The 21,370-nt window shown below is 36.3% G+C and overlaps 1 long non-coding RNA gene across 7 annotated transcripts in view; it reads right to left on the bottom strand.

The window, feature by feature from the left end:
- LOC105377979 (uncharacterized) overlaps nucleotides 1-21,370 on the bottom strand; it is a 288,164-nt gene that overhangs the window by 85,572 nt on the left and 181,222 nt on the right. For 4 of the 7 annotated variants that reach the window (XR_942936.3, XR_942937.4, XR_001744325.2 and 1 more), the window contains one exon: nucleotides 3,283-8,652. This is a non-coding gene — a long non-coding RNA (uncharacterized LOC105377979). Of the gene's footprint in view, nucleotides 1-3,282; nucleotides 8,653-21,370 lie in introns of those variants that run through there. The other 3 variants (XR_001744323.2, XR_001744324.2, XR_001744321.2) reach the window with 2 other exon arrangements.

Raw genomic sequence — 21,370 nt, 5'->3', positions numbered from 1 at the left:
TGTATCACCACGTCCGGCTAACTTTTTGTATTTTAGTAGGGATGGGGCTTCACCATGTTGGTCAGACTGGTCTTGAACTCCTGACCTCAGGTGATCTACCCACCTCAGCCTCCCAAAGTGCCGGGATTACAGACGTGAGCCACTGCACCCGGCCTCCTAGCTTTTATTAAAATAGCTGTGCATATTTCCATTCTGCCCCTAATGATACATGTTTAATGTGACTTAGAAAAGACTGAAAACTGCTGTGGACTTCAATGAACTATAACATAATCTGCAAACCTTAACTCAAAATAAGATCAAATGTGTGAAGAAATTTACCACTTATCAGAAAAGTTACTGATTTGGTAAAGTAGAAACCAAGTCTGTTTAGATAGACTAGCACTTCATTATGGCTACACATAGCCTCTCGTGACTCCCACCATCAAATGTTTGTTACAACATACTTTATAAAACATTGGACAATAGTGTAACAATGCAAAATCAGGATGTAGTATAACAAAGCTAGATACTAACTCTCTCCTTGCTTTCCTTTTTAAAAGTAAAAAAAATCCCCCATCCTATGTAAACGGAAGTTAAAATATGGTGCATATAGTAGAGTCCTTTTAAAAATTCTATATTTCCTTGGACATAGAGAGGTATGGAAGGCTTGTCATAATTCGCCTAACCATCCAAGCTCTCCTCTTCTAACATTTTGTGTGCTATATTTTACTTGGTGGAAAATAATGTCCTTCCTGTATTACTCTCCCAGCTGCTGAATGGTACACAAATTTATAAACTTAAAATATAACATTTGAAAAAGAAAAAAGATTAGTATAACGTAGAATAAATGTCCGATTGAGGAATCAGTTTAAGTAGGACCATTTAAAGTTAATCCAGTTTAAGTAGTAAATAGGAATAGTAATAAGAAAAACAACCTTATTTTTGCATAATATTGACAATTTTTCATAGTGTCTCGATGAGAAAAAAATTGCCACTGGGTACTATTTTTAATACTTTGAAATAATATACAGAAAAGTTTAATTCAATTGACATTTGTACTCTTTCAGGAAAAGCAAAACAAAACCAAAACCAAAACCAAAACCCAGAAAACAACAAGCAGTTTTTGATAAATAGTACAGAAGTAATCTTAAAATATTCTTTGAAATCTATGAATTATTCTCCAAACATTTTTTTGGAACAATTTCCTATGCCACTAACAGCATTATGAAAATTTAGTTTCTAAATTCTCATGACTAACAGGTAAGTGCTGAAAAATAGTTTAAATGTTTGTTCATGTTACCTGTTTTCTTAATAAAATTTAAAATATATAAATACAGAAAAATAAAGTAACAAATGGCAGGACTTCAATTTTTACAAATGCATATGTAATAAAAGATTGGATCAGAAAAAAATGCAGAGGGCTGATTGACAAATCAGTCAGTAAAGAGTTCAGGGTATCTGAACTTAATGTTTTGATGGCATTACTGCTTCCTGAAAGCATATCAATGTGTCGGTCAGAAATGGAATCTTTGTCTGTGGAGCACAGATCTCAGCATTGAAATCACTGTGCTTTGTTCTTTACCATTTTTATTTAATTAAGTGAGATTCAAAACACTTTTATTTCATGAAATAAATCTAGCTTTATTTATTTTTAAAATTTTCAAACATAGAAATTTCTGCCTGCACTCTGGGTGGTATATTCAGACATACCTCATCTAGTGGCAGACATAACAGCAAAAACTAAAGTTCAGCAAAAACTGAAGTTTAGCATTAGCTCTCATAGGAAAAGCAATTTTCAGTAATTTGCCTATTATCTTGTTACATGTGTCATTTAACATATTCTAATCATTTTTGGAGCCTTCTTATAATTTATATAAGTAATACCTCTATATAGGCTACCCATTTTATTGAATTTTAGTAGATACGCTAGTATATGCCAAATAGAAGAATTTTGGATTAACCCTAACCCCAAATTAACTGATCTTGAAAGATGCCCAGATATACTTCCACATATTTACACAACCCAACTCAAATGTAAACTGACAATGAAAGACCTTTCCAAATTATCTTCCATAAAGATTTAGAGAAAACTATTAAACCGGTTAATATGAGATGAAGGATATTAGTTTATGTTCACTGACACTTTTCTAAATGATTTTTTGCAACCATGGTAATTAGGCTAAATGTCACATATGCCTTGTTGACTCTTTTCAGAGTCAGAAGTAAACAGGAAATTTCAGATTTTGACATTTTCGTTCATTTTGGAATTGTCTGATAGTGACAGAGATCCAACACTAGAGGTAATCATCCTGTTTACACAGACTGCAAAATGAGTGTACCAGCTAATAACTCTCAGATATTTCACTTAATCAAACTTTTAAATGATTCTTCTTAGACTGATAGCATTGATACAACAGGAACATAGAGAGTAAAACAAGAAAATCTTTATTATGCTTTTTCATGAAAGAGGTAGTAGAAAATTAAATGTCCAGATTTCCTGGGTTTTTTGAGTGTCAATAAGGACAAAGCTTTTTAAGTCTGTACATGATGCTTTAAAGCTTATCCAATTTAAGTAGTAAATAGGAATAGTCCTAATAAAAACAACCTTATTTTTGCATAATATTGGCAATTTTTCACAGTGTCTTGATGAACAAAAAATTGCCACTGGGTACTATTTTTAATACTTTGAAATAATATACAGAAAAGTTTAATTCAATTGATATTTGTACTCTTTCAGGAAAAGCAAAAACAATAAAAAAACAAAAAAAAACAGAAAATAATAAGCAGTTTTGATAAACAGTACAAAAGTAATCTTAAAATATTCCTTGAAATCTATGAATTATTCTCCAAACATTTTTTGGAACAATTTATGCCACTAAAAGCAATATGAGGATTTAGCTTCTAAATTCTCATGACCAATAGATAAGTGCTGAAAAATAATTTAAATTTTTGTTCATGTTACCTGTTTTCTTAATAAAGTTACATGCTATCAATAAATAGTTAAAATCCTTTCAAAAGACATCATTGCTTTTTTATATTGGATATTGCTTTTGGTGTTAATCAGTCCTAACATTATGAAATGTAGCCATTGAGAAAACCATAGGTGAATAATAGTTATTTAAGTTTGTATTTTTTTTTTACTATGGTAAAAACCTCTGAAAACATTTTGGATATCTTAATTTTTATCAAAACTGATTCATCTGTTTTATTCATTTCAAAAATATTATTATGCTGTTGAAAGAAGAGTTTGTTAATAACAAATAGCCATGATTCCAATTTACGTTTTGAAAAAGAAGCATGAAGTTGGAGGACCTGTGCAATTTCAAATTTTAATACAAAGTTACAGTAATCAATGCAGTATGACATCAGTATAATAATAGATATGTAGATCAATAAAACTGGATGAAGAACCCAGTAAAAAACCCACACATTTACAGTAAATTGATTTTTAACAAAGATGCCTAGGCAATTCAAGAGGAAAACAATAATCTTTACCACAAGTGGTGTTAGAACAAATGGATTGCTATATGCAAAACAAAAACCAAACCAAACCAAAACAAAAAATCTCAGATGCTTACTTTACATCATATACAAATTTAAATAAACATGGATCTGAGACATAAGTAGAAAAATTAAAACTATCCACATTTTAGAAGAAGACATCCGATAAACAATGTGTGTCCTTAGGCAAGAATTTCTTAGACATGATTCTGAAAGCCTGATTCACAAAATAAAAATTGGCGAATTTGACTTCATCGAAATTGAAAACTGATGGTATTCGAAAGATCCCATTTCAAAAATGGAAAGACAAACCACAAAGTGAGAAATATATTTGCAAATCATACATATAATAAACACTTGTATCCAGAATATAGTTGTCATCTATTGCTGAATTACTCTTAATACTTAGCATCTCAAAACAACAAGCCATACAGTTTTGAGGGGCAGGAATCTGGAAGTGGCTTAGCTGAGTGGTGCTGGCTCAGGGTGTCTCAAGACAAGCTGTTGGCCAAAGCCACAGTCATCTGGAGCTAGACAATTCCGTGCTCACTCATACGGTTGTTGGCAGGCCTCGGTTCCTTGTTGGCTGTTGGAAAAATACCTCAGTTCCTTGTCCCAGGGGCCCTTTATAGGCCATCTGATTGTCCTCAAGACACGGCAGCTGGATTCTCCAGAATGAATGATGCAAAGGGGTTTGGCAGGGGAGAAAAAGAAGCTGAGATGGAAAACACAGTCTCTTATAACCTAACCTTGGAAGTGATATACCACCATTTCTGCCATATGTTGTTTGGTTCTGTTGGTCAGACCAATCCTGGAGCAATGAGGAAGGCACTACTCAAGGGTGTGAATGCTAGAAGGTGAGGTCATCTGGCTATTGAACAGAATACATAAAGAACTTTTGAAGCTCAGTAATAAGGTGACAAATAACTCAACAAGAAAATGGGAAAAATATTTCAATAGGCATTTCACTAAAGAAGATATATGTATGGCTAAAAATAATAATAAAAACACCAAATGAAGACATGCTCAACATCATCAGTCATTAGGATAATGCAAATTAAAATTACAATGAGATATCATTATATACCCACTAGAATGACTAGAATCAAAAAGACTGACCATACCAAGTGTTGGCAAATATTTCGAGAAACTGGAACCTTTATACATTATTGGTGGGGATGTAAAATGGCACAACCATTTTGAAGAACAGTTTGGGAGGTTTTAAAAGTTAAGTATCCCTTTACCATATGACTCAGCAATTCTAATCTTAGGTATTTATCCAAGAGAAACAGAATCATATATTTAGATATCCACAAAAAGATTTGTACATAAATGTTTATAAAATCATCACTTACAATAGCCAAAAACTGGAAACGACCCAAATGCCCACCAACAGGTGATTGGAAAAACAAAGTTTGGTGTCAATACAATAGAATGATACTCAGCAATAAAATAGAATGATCCATGCAACAAAATGAATGCATCTCAAAATAATACAAAATGAAAGAAGTCATTTCTATGAGTTTTATATTGCTACCATAATAATTCCTACAAACTTAATGACATAAAACAATACAAATGTATTATCTTATCATTTTGGAGGCCATAAGCCTGACATGGGTCTCACTAAGCTAAATTGACAGGGCCGTGTCTCTTTCTGGAGGCTCTAGAGGGTAATCTATTTCTCTGACTGTTCCCTTCTAGAGGTCCCCTCCATTTCTTGACTCATGGCTCCCTTCCTCTAACTTCAAAGCCATCAATGGCAGACTGAGTCTTTCTTGCATTGCATCTCTCTGACTCTTCTTCCATTATTGTATCTCTCTGACCCAGCTGAGAAAGTTTCTGTGCTTTTAAGGGCTGAATTGATTACATTGGGCCCATCCAGATAGTCCTGGATAATCTCCGCATTTGTACGCAATTTACGTTGGCGAAGTCCCCTTTCCAATGTGATATAACATTCACAAGTGCAGGGGATTTTATTTTGCAAACCACACTTTTTATATGAAATTTCTAGGAAAAGCAAAAATAAGTAGATGAAAATTTTATCAGTGTTTGCTGGGACTGGGGGTGGGAGCAGATTTCACTAAAAATGGACATTAAAGATCTTTTTAGAATGACAGAAATTATCTAAAATGGAATCTATCATATTTGCACAATTCTAAATTTTACTAAAAATCATCAAGTTGCATATTTTCAACGGGCGAATTTTATATGTAAAATATAGTTCAATAAAACCATTAAATATTTTTAAGTGAATGGAAAAAAGCAAAGAAAAATAATTTGTTGAAGTAGTTAATACTATTAAAATAAGCCTTGAAAACACGGACCTCTTATTTGGGATTTTGACTCCTGGTGAATTTCTGTTTTCTTCCAATCAATTAAATTAGTGTTTTGGCTTTCATCATGAGCACATTATGTTTACACTCAATATATCATCTGCTGATCTTAAACACATTCCTATTACATCACTTGACAGAAGTGCGTGTGAGACTTCTGAACTCAAATAAGGCCTCCCAAAAAGCTTTTCTTTTAATACTTCCATTGGATAAATTATAAACACATAGACAGAAATGCTAGAATCAAATCTCAAATGCTTCATCCTACTATATGTGTAAAACTATGATTCATTATTATTAAGAATCACAACAAAGCCCATCCACCAATTAATTTTTTTCACATAAATATGTGGTGAAACATTTATTTACAGTTTCCTTTGCCTGGCAAGTGGTAAACCAGAATACTGAAAATTTGTGTCTTTTCTGAGTACATAGACTTAGTGACAAAAAACCTAGCACTTCATACACATTTGCTCCAGAAGTACTCAGAAGGGTCACGTTACCCTACTGAAGAATAAAGGTACACACTCTGCATCTTTATTAGTGATGAATCATTAATTTATTCTGATTAGCCTTAAAGTATGAACGAGTCAGCTAGCTGAACTGTGTGAAATGGTGGGTGGTACAGCAAGAAGTTTGATGCTGACTTATTTAACTATAGATGTTAATGCCTTGCTTTGTATATTCCCATGATGAAATTCATTCTTCTTTTGCTTTGTGCCTTGAGGTCTCCTGTAATTAAAGGTGTAATGTCTACAGATTGCTTTGAAATGAAGAGTTATCCAAAGAGAAGGTATTACCATATTACAGAGCCACCTGCTTAAAGCTTGCCAAAACAATATGGACAAGAGTGAGGGCCCTAATAGTGCATGCCAACATGATCTCATCTTGAAGTATGAGAACATAAGAATCAGCACATACTTCTAAATACTTCCTTCAAATAAATAGAGCCTAATTGTTTAGCTAATTTATTTTATTTTATTTCTTCACTATAATTTTTCCTACTCTATTTTTACTATTGCGGACTTTTCAAAATCCCTTAAAATTGATGGCCATATATTAGCATGTAATTTAAAAAGCTTCAGTTTCTTTTCCCATGTATTGGTGATGTTAACAAAAGAATCAGGAGTTAAATAGATATATCCCTGGGAAATGCAATTTTAGAGACATTATTGTCTATATTTCATTAATTATTTAAAAGTAGGGTTTTGAGGCAGAAACAATTTTTCTATTATATCTGTAACCATAAAAGATTAAATATGCATTCATTTTTTTTCAACCTTTATTTTAAGTTCCAGAGGATATATTCATTTTTAGTTAAGTGGAAGTAATGCTTGAACCATGAATAAAGATACAGATTCATTTGAGTAGGCTTTGTTGGTCTGATTCATTAATAGTTTTTTAAACGTTAACATTCTTACCAAGCAATTTTTATTTCTTAAAAAAATCCTGAGTTTAATAACAGGTTAGAGTAGTTCTGTTACCAAAATGACTTCGAAATTCCACATAATTAGAATCAGATAAAATGTATGTTCTGCAACCAATTTCAAGGGTGCTATTTAAAAAACACCATGACAACACCAGGATTTAATTTCTGACCTATTTCTCAGATCTTTTTATTTAATCCACAATCCAGCATTTAAAAAAAAAGAATCCCACAAGGAAGCAATGGACTTCAGGTAAATAATTTTTTTTCTTCAGAAGTGACTGGGATCAAGAGAGACTAAGAGATCCTTTGTTTCTTTTTTTTCTTTTTTTTTTTTTGAGACGGAGTCTCGCTCTGTCACCCAGGCTGGAGTGCAGTGGCGTGATCTCGACTCACTGCAAGCTCCGCCTCCCGGGTTCACACCATTCTCCTGCCTCAGCCTCCCGTGTAGCTGGGACTACAGGCGCACGCCACCATGCCCGGCTAAGTTTTGTATTTTTAGTAGAGACGGGGTTTCACCGTGTTAGCCAGGATGGTCTCGATCTCCTGACCTCGTGATCCGCCTGTCTCGGCCTCCCAAAGATCCTTTGTTTCTTGTCAGGAAACCTGGATTTCCATTCAATTCCCACAGAAACATATTGTGCAATCTAGAAATATTCTATGTCCTTAGCATAAATGAATGGAATTGACTATATAAACTTTTATGAAAGTAAGTTCTAAAACCCTATTCTAGAACTCAAAAGGTTAATACCGAGTCTATAAACAAATGGGTTGAAAGGTCACCTTTGAAGTTTAGAAGCTGAATCTCAAATTCTAGGCCTGTTCATGAAACCACAGGTTTACTGGAGCAGATAAAATAAGGAAAACCTTGTAAAAATTTCTCAGAAGTTAAACCCATCAGAAATGTGCATAGTTTTTGCATTTTCCACATCTAAGCTTCTGGTCAATTAGAAAGACTATGGTCAAAAGGTGCACACTGCTTAGATGCTGGCATTGATTTAATTAAAGGGAAAATGGAAGAAATGAATTCTAAGAATGGGGCAAATCTTAATGTCTTAATTTGTTTTGTGCTGTGAGTCTGGGCAATTTATAAAGAACAGAGATTTATTTCTTACCATCCTGGAGTAATACACAGCAATTTAGGCTTTTTCTAGCCTGCTCCTCTAAATTCTTCCATACTCTACCCCTTACCCAGTTCCAGAGTGGCTTCCATTTTTAGGTATTTGTTATAACAATGGTACTACTCCTTCATACCAATTTTCTATCATAGTCCATTTTGTGCTGCTATAGCAGGATACCTGAGACTGGGTAATTTATAAAGAACAGGGATTTATTTCTTACAGTTCTGGAGGCTGAGAAGTCCAACATTAAGGTGCTGGTATCTGGTGACGGCTTTTCTGTTGCATCATCCTATGGCAGAAGGTGGAAGGGTAAGAAAGCATGAGAAGGCAAGACAGAGTTGAAATCACCTTTATCAGGAACCTGTTCCCATGATAATTAACCCATTCCTGTGATAACAGCATTAATCCAGGGCACAGCCCTCACGATCTAATTACCTCCTAGAGATCCCAACTCTCAATACTGTTGCAGTGAGAATTAAATTTCCAATACCTGAACTTTGGGGGACACATTCAAACCACAGCAGTTAAGTAACTCTCATTTTCCCCTTATTCCCATACCCATATTCAAGCTACATGAAATTTTTTTCCAATTAGAAGTACATAGTTGTAGCTACTTCAGTTTAGTAAATGTCACTGAATAGCATTTCATGAGACAAATTCAGTAGATAAACCTAAAGGTCCTTGCTGACATTTTTCTCCTGTCAGTCTTAATAGTTTCTTAATCTCACTTTAATTATCTTAGTTTAAAAGCCAGATTCTAAATGGGTTACATAGAATGACCAGTGGACAAAAACTAAAGGAGTCATTTTAGGCTGGAGGCTTTTTTTTTTTTTTTTGAAACAGTCTTGCTCTGTCGCCCAGGCTGGAGTGCAGTGGCACAATCTCGGCTCACTGCAACCTCCGCCTCCTGGGTTCAAGCGATTCTCTTGTCTCAGCCTCCCGAATACCTGGGATTACAGGCACGCACCACCGCGCCCAGCTAACTTGTGTAATTTTAGTAGAGATGGAGTTTTGCCATGTTGGCTGGAGGGTTTTAAATGAGCATTTGCTCCTATTAGAGGTTGCCTTGGTAGTCATTGCCAGATCTGGTGCCTTGTACAGTGCCTGGTACATGGGAGAGAATTATTAAATGTTGGATTAATGAACAGACATACCTCAACCAGGCTTTATTGGGTTAGCCTATCTCAAGAGAGGGGTTGCTTGTGTGTAAGACAAAAAGGGGTTATGGGAAGAGTTTATTTTACCTGTTATTGTATCTCTATCGCCAAACTTTCTACCAGCTCTCATGAAAATGTTGCTCTCTGTACCTTCCCTGACCATTTATTTCCAGAAATGCCACATCATAAATATTACACAGGAAATAAAGCATCTAAAATTATAAACCCTCTGACCAGAATGTCTTTCATCTGACCCACAGCTTGTGCTAAATAATCAAACCCCAAACCCCATGGAATTTTAAAATGTGGGGTTTCTGGTGCTGAATATTTTGTGATTTGTCTTCTCTTGAGTCTTAAAAATTTCTATGTGCTGGTACAAGTAAATATAGAGGTAAAAAATAAATAGGCTTTTATTGGACAAGCGACTTTGAGTGCAGACTATAACGTGTTTGAGGAGAGATTTATAATAAAATTTAGTTGGTCCAACAAAGCCTAAATGTTTATGTAGCTCATTCAAACTTGTCTGTGTCCTCAAATTGACACTGTTTTACTTCATGCCATATCAGATAAAGTTTAAGGTGTTTATCTGTAGGAGAAAGAGCTTCTTGTCAAACATGAAAATAAGAGAGAAAGAGGTGGAGTTTCCTCACTGAAATTAGTCAGTAACTCGCCGTGTCCATTACGAACCCTCACATTCAATAAAGTGGAGAATGCCAGGATACTGCAGCAAATGGAGTTTTGCTGAAGATCAAAGCAACGTAAGCTGCTATAACACACTTTATGTTCTGTCTTTTCATTTCCTGTAGGTGGTGAGCTCCTGAATTGTGGTAATTACCAGTCCTTGATTGAAGGCAATTCATTTCATTCCTGACACTGAAAATATCAAAAAGCAAGCTGCCTCTCGATGGCCCTAACTTTATAGCTCATTTGTAATTGTTCTAATCAGTTGTAAGGAGCAGGTAAGAATGAGAATATGTTTTGTTTAAGACAGTCTGAAGTTCCTTGCTGGAGCTTATTTCTAAATACCCTCGGTAGTTTGTTTTATATTCATAAACTAATTTGATCACTTCAAATTCTTACCAATTTTTAATTAGTCTGTTAATTTAAAAAACCTTATCCAATTATATTCTTACAAAAAATTGTATCTTATAATTCTATGATCTAATTAAATTGCAAAATTAAAATTGTGCACAAACACTTTTTAGGTTGAAAAGTTTAAAAAGAACAAAAAGCAGGTATAAAAATACACTTTAGTTTTCATTTTCAGATAGAGTAATTATATATATCATATATAAAATTTATATATATGAAAGAATATATATTTTTCATATATTTATATATAAAAGAAATCATATATATATATAATTTTTACCTTAGCTATCTCCAAAGATAAAATTCTTAAGATTGATAGGGAGCTGAGAAGAAATTTTAAATAGTGGATATAACTTGTAATCATTTAAGATTTAATTAAGTCACATTTCCAGCAGATGTTCTAATAAATACAATAGTAGTAATTAGTATTATTATAAGGATAGTGCCTGAAATAAAGGGTGTAAACATTACATAAAGCTTGGATAGAGAGCTTTAGGCTCAGAATAAAAAAACTTCAGACTGGAAACATACCTGAAAGAATCTTGGTCAATTCCTGAGTTTTACAGTTAAAATTCAGTTTCAGAAAAATAAACCGTCTCAAGTTAAATTGTCACTTAGTGGCTTAGTAGAGGCAATAATTTGTGTCTTCTACTTCTAATTCATTTACTCTGGTTTTTTTTTTTTTTAGATATACTAACTGACAAACATTACTGTATGTATTCAACTATACCTATAATTATTAATTTAAATAGTCTGAAGTTAAACTTTTACATACAGAATAATACTTGAACATATTTTATACAGTGCTATACATTTTGTAGATCACATTGAATTTTTTATTGCTTACTCTATATTTATTTCTTTTGTACCAGCATAATTATGGCAGTAGAGGAAAGTTAAAAAGAAAGGGCAAATACACACAATTTTCACTATCATGTATGATTTTTGGTTTTTACTTCTAGAATTTATCCATGCTTACATATTTTCTGAAGTTGTAATGATGAGGAAATGCAATCTTTGTTCTGTTTTATTTAAGTAACATTATATTATGACATTGTCATGTTCATAATTACTACTTTAGCAACTAATATTTCATTGACTTAATTTGATAATTATCCAGTCATTTCCCTCTTGTGAGTGATTAGGTCATTTCTAATATTACTATAAAAAATACTGTTGTGAATTTCTTTGTGTACATTGCTTTTCTATATTGTTTGTCTTTTTTTTTGTGCAGATAAATCATATTATGCTTATGTGCATAAATTATGTCACATAGGCTCGTGTGATTAAACAGCACAGTCCCTCGTTTACCTGAAGTGGAACGTGAAAACAGCAGAGAAGCTACAGGCAGAACTTGCCTTATGCGCAGAAGGGTACCCAGAAGTCTGCAAAGATAATTTATAGGACAACTCCCCAAATCACCCCACGTAGTCTTTCCTAAAATTTCCAACAATGCAATTTCTTAGTACTTTTTTAAGAGGTAGGTATTTAATAAAGTTAAGGCATTTCTAGACTAAACAAAGGTAAAGCATTAGCTAACACATACGCAGGGTCTAGTTTATATGATTAATTCCCATTACCAATCATAAATTCTTAGGCAGCATAGACTCAGTTCTTCAAATAAGTATTAAAAAGAACAATATTGAGAGCATGACACTATGATGTCTCTTGAGTGAAAGAAAATAAGAGAATTGAACTTCAATCTCTCATACATTATAAACATGTTTCTTACACAAAACACATACCAGTCAATGAAAAGGTCGTGGTTTTTCACAAGTTCTTTAGGACTCGGGCCCAGAATTCACAAGATTGTTGTGATTTAGTCACTCATTATTGTTCAGCATTTATTTTCCTGGCATATACAGCTATACAGCTACCACGTATTGCAAAGCTACAATGTCTCAGCCACTTTTTTTCATGATCTCATTTCATCCTTATAATAACTCTATATAGTATCCATTATTTCTCTCATTTTACATATGTGGACATCAAGGCCAAGAATGTTGAAGTATTTTGCATAAAATCACAAGTTCTGAGCTATGAAGTGGCATAGCCAAAATTCACCTTTCTCTGAATGATTATTCTGTAAGTACTCCTTAGTGAGCAGGGATTTCTACCATAATATGTCAACAGCTTTTTGGGGCTATCTGAATTCTCTTGTGATTTTTCTATTCATAAAACTTGAAAAACCTCTTAGTTAATTCTTTTTCCCAGAATGTCAGTCGTGCTGGACATTTACTCTGCTGTTAAAATGTAACTAGAGAAATACAAGTGGGAACCACATTTGTGACCCAAAATGAACTTTTCAAAATTTTTTTGAAATCTTATAATATTTTGCACTCAATCTTCATGACTAAAGTGTACTAAAGTCACAACAGATATTCCAAATCAGCAGTTGTGTTGCCAATGGAATGTCAACAATATTAATTCAGATTTAACAACCACTCGGATTCATCTCTTTAGATTCAAGTCCCATAAAAACACAGGATGAAGTCTCATGACTTTTATTAAAATGTCTCTAAATATAAGCCCTAAAAAGCAATTAACTCTGATATGGTGTTTGGATCTGAAAAATTTTGGAGAAGAAAAAGAATGTAAGAATGTACCTGCACCATAAGCATAGCAACTTCAGATTTAACTAATTTTTTTGTTAAATTTTGTTCAGTAACTAAGCTGATCTCTCAGAAAATCATTTAAAATTACTCACAAGACTGTAATTATGTAGTGTTGGAATGATCTTGGTACAGAATCGAAAAAAAAATCCTTTCTTTCACTGCTTCAAAAACTTCACCCAAAAAAAGGATTGAATGAATTCTAAGTTTTTAAAGTTTAAGAATTCTACCACAAATTTAACTTCAAGGAGAAAATACTTTAAGTTATAATTAATGTATTATTGGTAAATGTTTAGGATAAAAAGTCTCATACTAGAAATCCACACACACACACACACAAACAGTTTTGAATCCATAATAGGTAGAAAGATAGTGTGTGATATGGTTCGGCTCTTTGTCCCCACCCAAATCTCATTTTGAATTGTACTCCCATAATTCCCAAGTGTTGTAGGAGGAACCCAGTGGAAGATAATTTGAATCATGGGGCGGTTTCCCTCATACTGTTCTCATGGTAGTGAATAAGTCTCATGAGATCTGATTGTTTTGTCAGGGGTTTCTCCTTTTGCATATTCCTCATTTTCTCTTGCTACCACCATATAAGAAGTACCTTTCACCTGCCACCAAGATTCTGAGTTATCCCCAGCCACGTCAAACTGTAAGTCCAATTAAACCTCTTTTTCTTCCCAATCTTGGGTATGTCTTTATCAGCAGCATGAAAATGGACTAATACAGTAAATTGGTATCAGTAGAGTGGGATATTGCTGAAAAGATACCCAAACATGTGGAAGTGACTTTGGAACTGGGTAACAGGCAGAGGCTGGAACAGTTTGGAGGGCTCAGAAGAAGAGAGGAAAATGTGGGAAAGTTTGGAACTTCCCTGTGACTTGTTGAATGGCTTTGACCTAAAGCCTGATAGTGATATGAATAATAAGGTCCTGGCTGAGGTGGTCTCAGTTGAAGATGAAGAATTTATTGGGAACTGGAGCAAAGGTGACTCTTACTATGTTTTAGCCAAGAGATGGGCAGCATTTTGCCCCTGTCCTAGAGATTTGTGGAACTTTGAACTTGAGAGAGATAATTTAGGGTATCTGGCAGAATAAGTTTCTAAGCAACAAACCATTAAAGATGTGACTTGGGGCCAGTCACGGTGACTCATGCCTGTAATCCCAGCACTTTGGGAGGCTGAGGTGGGTGGATCACTTGAGTCAGGAGTTTGGGACCAGCCTGGCCAACATAGTGAAACCCATCTCTACTAAAAATACAAAAATTAGCTGGGCGTGGTGGCATATACCTGTAGTCCCACCTACTCAGGAGGCTGAGGCAGAAGAATTGCTTGTATCAGGAGGTGGAGGTTACAATGAGCTGAGATCACACAGCTGCACTCTAGCCTGGACGACAAAGACTTCGTCTGAAAAAAAAAAAAAAAAGTGACTTGGGTGCTGTTAAAAGCATTCCATTTTAAAAGGGAAACAAAACATAAAAGTTCAGAAAATTTGCAGCCTGATGATGCAGTAGAAAAGAAAAACCCATTTTTTGAGGAGAAATTCAAGTTGGCTGCAGAAATTTGCATAAGTAACAAGGAGCCCAATGTTAATCCCCAAGACAATGGGAAAAATGTCTCCAGAGCATGTCATAGGACTTCATGGCAGCCCCTCCCTTCACAGACCCAGAAGGCTAGGAGGAAAAAATGGTTTTGTGGGCCAGTCCTAGGGTCCCCATGCTGTGTGTGCAGCCTAGGGACTTGGTGCCCTATATCCCAGCTGCTCCAGCCACTGCTAAAAGGGGCCAAGGTACAGCTTGGCTTATGGCTTCAGAGGGTGCAAGCCCCAAATCTTGGCAGCCTCCACGTGGTGTTGAGCTGGCAGGTGCACAGAAGTCAAGAATTGAGGTTTGGGAACCTCCACCTAGATTTCAGAAGATGTATGGAAATGCCTGGATGCCCAGGCAAAAGTTTGCTGCAGGGTGGGGCCCTCATGGAGAACCTCTGCTAGGGCAGTGTGGTAGAGAAATGTGGGTTTGGAGCCCCCACACAGAGCTCCTACTAAGGCACTGCCTAGTGGAGCTGTGAGAAGATGGCCATTGTCCTCCAGACCCCAGAATGGTATATTTACCGACGGCTTGCACCATGCACCTGGGAAAGCTACAGACACTCAACACCAGCCTGTGAAAGCAGCCAGGAGGGAGGTATGCCCTGCAAAGACACAGGGGTGGAGTTGCCCAAGACTTTGGGAACCTACCTTTTGCATCAGTGTGACCTGGATGTGAGACATGGAATCAAAGGAGATCATTTTGGAGCTTTAAATTTTGACTGCCCCACTGGATTTCAGACTTGCATAGTCCCTGTAACCACTTTGTTTTGCCCAATTTTTCCCATTTGGAATGGCTGTATTTACCCAATACCTGTATTCTCATTGTGTCTAGGAAGTAACTAGCTTGCTTTTGATTTTACAGGCTCATAGGCAGAAGGGACTGGACTTGTCTCAGATGAGACTTTGGACTGTGGAGTTTTGGGCTAATGCTGAAATGAGTTAAGACTTTGGGAGACTGTTGGGAATGCATAATTGGTTTTGAAATGAGAGGAAATGAGATTTGGAGGGGTCATGGGTGGAATGATATGGTTTTGCTCTGTGTACTCACCCAAATCTCATCTTGAATTGTACTCCCATAATTCCCATGCATTGTGGGAGTGACTCAATGGGAGATAATTTGAATTATGGGGGTAGTTTCCCTCATATTGTTCTCATGGTACTGAATAAGTCTCACAAGATCTGATGGTTTTATCAAGGGTTTCTGCTTTTGCATCTTCCTCACTTTCTCTTGCCACCACCACGTAAGAAGTGCCTTTTGGCCGGGCACAGTGGCTCACGCCTGTAATCCCAGCACTTTGGGAGGCTGAGGCAGATGGATCACGAGGTCAGGAGATCGAGACCATCCTGGCTAACATGCTGAAACCCCGTCTCTACTAAAATCACAAAAAAATTAGACGGGCGTGGTGGCGGGTGCCTGTAGTCCCAGCTACTCGGGAGACCAAGGCAGGAGAATGGTGTGAACCCGGGAGGCAGAGCTTGCAGTAAGCCGAGATCGCACCACTGCACTCCAGCCTGGGTGACAGAGCGAGACTCTGTGAAAACAAAAACAAAAACAAAACAAAAACAAAAAGAAGTGCCTTTCACCTCCCTCCATGATTCTGAGGCCTCCCCAGTCATATGAAACTATAAGTCCAATTTAACCTCTTTTTCTTCCCAGTGTTGGGTATTGTCTTTATCAGCAGCATGAAAATGGACTAATACAGTGGCCATAAATAGATATTGAACTTTTAACTGTGAAGATGAAATTTTGCTACATATTCAGCCTAACTTTACATAGTTAGCTAAGCTCTATATCATTGCATAATTACGAATATAGTTATATGACGAGTTAAGTCCTACGAAAAGGAAAGAACATGATTCCATGTAGGTGCACACAGTTCTCAAAATTTGCTTGTAAATGGTTTGGCTTTTAAAATATATTTTCTGATAGAAAATATTTTAAATTATAGCCTCTCCCCACCTGAAACCTATTGAATGTGTAATTAAGTTGAATTGTGCTTATTATGCTTGAGACAGAACTCTGAGTTCAGGAAGGAGGGAGGCAGAGAACAAATATTTACTTCTTTCTGGCTACAGGGTTGGCTGTGAATAAAATTTGGCATAGGCAATATACATGGGAATTTTTTTACTTCTTTATATTTATTCCTCTCTCACTTGAATATTGCTGTTATTTGGGTATACTATGTTCATTTCCTAATTTAAACTAGGCTTATTAGCACACTTCCCAGCACCAGCCTACCCCTCAAACTACTCTGTGCCTCAAAATTATCTCCTCCATTTTTGTTCCTACTACAGTGCCTTGCACATAGAAGGCACACAATAATTATTCATTAAAAGAATGAATGAAATAAGAAACATAGAAAGTGTTAGAGAAGGCACCAACCTAACAGAAAGAAAAGATGTGGTTTTAACTATCCTTTGCCTGTTTACTTCCTCTACATTTACATTCTCAGCTATTCAAGTTTTATACTGTTGTTGTTCTGTACAATGATTTCTTGAAGGCAAAAGCTTGAGCTCCAACAAGGTTAGGGGGCATCAGTGCAGATGTTTTATGGACATTTTTAGAATTGGTATTGATAGAAGTCTCATTTTAAAATGAAGTAAAAACTGAGGCTGTATAGCCTGATTCATAATGCTCAAAAGACCATTACGAATCATTATGAAACAAAGCAAACACATAGTTGTCATATAATATAGCAGTTCTAGGCTTGCTTTATGTGTTTCAAACAGTGATGGTTCCTTAAGAAGTCACATCTCTGTGCTATCTAACACATAAACAGGCACGATAAAACAGTACAGCTACTGTGCTGTAATGTAGTCCATGGCCAACACTGCTCAGTGCTGAGTGTGGCACCCGTGGTAATTCGTGAGCGAGGTGCCTCCTTAGGCCTTTCCTGTGTTGCATACCTATCTCATTGCTAAACTGCATCTGGTTAGAAAGCCCATCCACATGCTCTTGTATGGTCAAAAAGGAGAGACTTCTTCTATACAGAACTCACTCAATGCCCGGCATGGGCACATGGCAGGCTGACAGCCAAAATGTGCCCACTAAGCCCCTAACAAATGAATCATGAATCTGGGTGACTGGAGAGACAAATGTTTACCATGGAATGGTAACAAAAAAGTCTGGGCTTTTTGCCATTTAGGAAAAAAAAAAAAAAAAGAAGTATGTGAACCTTCTTATCCTTTCCCAGATAGAGCTCTGAGAAGGTGTAGTACAATCAACTCAGTCTTTGGAGGGGCATATTGACAACAAAATGATACTTTGTATAATTTCACAATTTTATTGTGTGTGTGTGTGTGTGTGTGTGTGTGTGTGTGTGGTGATTTTCTCTCTTGTGGTGACTGATTTGCTTTACCATAAAACGAAGTAGGATGATACTATTATAATTTATCCTTTCCTATCACATCGTGTTTTAGTTTAAGATTATAGAGCAAATAGACTGTGTTATTACTCATTGAACACCAAGAATAAAGAAAGAATAATAAAAGATTTTTGAGCATGGTTCTTTTCTCTGCTCACTATCAATTCTAGCTCTGCCACTATCTGGCTGTGGGATGTTTGGCAAGTTACTTTACATCTTCTTCTATAATGTGGTCATTGAGACTAGACAATATGTGTACATGTATTAAGTGCCTGGAACAGATTAATAATAAATGCCAGTTGAAAATTATTTATTTGCAGAGGATGATGGTGGATAGGAGGCAGGACTAGCTTGCAGTTCCTGCCCAGATGCACAGAGCAGCGCGTGGAGACTCACATAGTGAACTTTTGCTCCAAGAACTATCACAGGAACATAGCAGGAAAGCCGAGAGAATCCACAGACCCTTTGAAGGAACGGAATCACTGCTGCAGGCTCTCCAAGATGCCAAAAAAACTGTGAGTTGAATTGCTTTCTCAGGAGGGAGGCTGGTGGTCTGGGACATGTTCTCTGCCTGTCACCAGCTGCCTGGAAATATTCTCAGTGCTGCTGAGGGGATATGGTGGGAGTGAGACCAGCCTTTAGGACTGCAGGCTGTGTGGGAGCAGGGTGAGGCCTGTGACTGCCGGCTTTCCCCTATTTCCCTGGTGACCTATATGATGCAGCAGAGGCAGCTATAATCCCCCTGGGAATATAATTTCATTAGACTGAGAACCACACCCCCATCCCATACAGTAGTCACAACAAGCCCCACACAAGGAGAGGCTGGGCTGAGACACACCTATCCCTGCCCCAACCTGGTAGTCTTTCTGTATTCACCATGGTAGCTGCAGACAATAGTCATAATGTTTTGGGAGCTCTATGGCCCTGCCTACCTTCTGAGAAACCCCAATACTTAACCAGGTATCCCTAGGGCAAATTTGCATATTCCCTATAGGACCACAACTGATGCGCTCTTGAAATCATCCCCTCCTGGCTGGAGGTGCACTTCCAACCAACACAAAACCAGTGCACTAAACAAAAACACAACCAAAAACCCTCATAGAGTCAATTTCACTCCCCTGCTACCTCCACCAGGGCAGGTGCTGGTGTCCATAGCTGCAAGACCTAAAGACGGACCATATCACGGTACTTTTTGCAGACACTCCTTAGTATCAGCCTGGAGCCCAGTAGCTCTGCTGGGTGGCTAGACACAGAGGAGCAAAAACAATCACTACAGTTTGGTCTCAGGGAGCCTCATTCTTAGGGGAAGGGGGAGAACACCACATCAAGGGAACACCCTTGAGACGAAAGAATCTGAAAAGCAGCCCCTGAGTCTCAGATTTTCCCTCTGACATAGTCTACCCAAATGAGGGGGAACCAGAAAAACAATTCTGATAATATGATAAAACAAACTTCTTTAGGACTCACAAAAGATCATACCAGCTACGAGCAATGGATCCAAACCCAAACAAAATCTCTGAATTGCCAGAAAAAGAATTCAGAAGGCTGATTATTAAGCTAATCAAGGAGTCACCAGAGAAAGGTGAAGTCCAACTTAGATAAATCAAAAACATGATACAGGATATGAAAGGAAAACTCTTCAGTGAAATAGAAAGAATAGATAAAGAACAATCACAGCTTCTGGAAATCAAGGACACACTTAGAGAAATTCAAAATGCACTAGAAAGTCTCAGCAGAAGAATCAAACAAGCAGAAGAAAGAAGTTCAGAGCATCAAGACAAGGCTTTCAAATTAACCCAATTTATTAAAAAAGAAAAAAGAAAAAATAAATTTTAAAAATGAACAAAGCCTCCAAGAAGTTGGGCACCATCTTAAACATCCAAACCTAAGAAGAATTGGTATTCCCAAGAAAGAAGAGAAATCTAAAAGTTTGGAAAACATATTTGGGAGAATATTCTAGACATTCAAATGCAAGAAGCTCAAAGAACACCTGGAAAATTCATTGCAAAAAGATCATTGCCTAGGCAAATAGTCATCAGGTTATCTGAAGTCTAGATGAAAGGAAGAATCTTTAGAGCTGTGAGGCAAAAGCATCAGGTGACCTATAAAGAAAAACCTATCAGATTAACAACAGATTTCTCAGCAGAAACCCTACAAGCTAGAAGGGATTGGGGTCCTATTTTTTAGCCTCCTTAAACAAAACAATTATTAGTCAAGAATTTTGTATCCAGCAAAACTAAGCTTCATAAATGAAGGAAAGATACAGTCTTTTCCAGACAAACAAATGGTGTGAGAGTTTGCCACTACCAAGCCAGCACTACAAGAACTGCTAAAAGGAGCTCTAAATCTTGAAACAAATCCTCAAAATACACCAAAATAGAACCTCCATAAAGAGTAAATTTTATAGGATCCATAAAACAATAACACAAAGAAAAACCAACAACAAGGTATTCAGACAACAAATAGCAAAATGAATGAAATAATACCTCATATCTCAATACTAACATTGAATGTAAATGGCCTAAATGCTCCATTTAAAAGATACAGAATGGCAGAATGGATACACATTCACCAACCAAGTTTCTGCTGTCTTCAGGAGACTCACCTAACACATAAGGACTCACATAAATTAAGGTAAAGGGGTAGAAAAAGATATTTCATGCAAATGGACACCAAAAGTGAGCAGAAGTAGCTATTCTTATATCACAAAAAGCAAACTTTAAAGCAACAGCAGTTTAAAAAGACAAAAATGGACATTATATAATGATAAAAGAACTAGTCCAACAGGAAAATACCACAATTCTAAATATATATGCACCTAACACTAGAGCTCCCAAATTTATAAAACAATTACTTCTAGACCTAAGAAATGAGACAGACAGCAACACAATAATCATGGGGAATTTTAATACTCCACTGACAGCACTAGACAGGTCATCAAGACAGAAAGTCAAGAAAGAAACAATGGACTTAAGCTATACCCTAGAACAAATGAACTTAACAGATATTTATAGAACATTCTACCCAACAACTGCAGAATATACATTCTATTCATCAGCACATGGAACATTCTCCAAGATAGACCACATGATAGGCCACAAAACAAGTCTCAGTAAATTTAAGAAAATCGAAATTATATCAAGTACTCTCTCAGAACACAAAGGAATAAAATTGGAAATCACTTCCAAAGGG

The sequence above is a fragment of the Homo sapiens genome, chromosome 6 (assembly GCF_000001405.40).
Source record: "Homo sapiens chromosome 6, GRCh38.p14 Primary Assembly".
NCBI lineage: Eukaryota > Metazoa > Chordata > Mammalia > Primates > Hominidae > Homo > Homo sapiens.
Note: the sequence above shows the minus strand (reverse complement) of the source record. Positions and strands in the feature narration are given on the sequence as shown.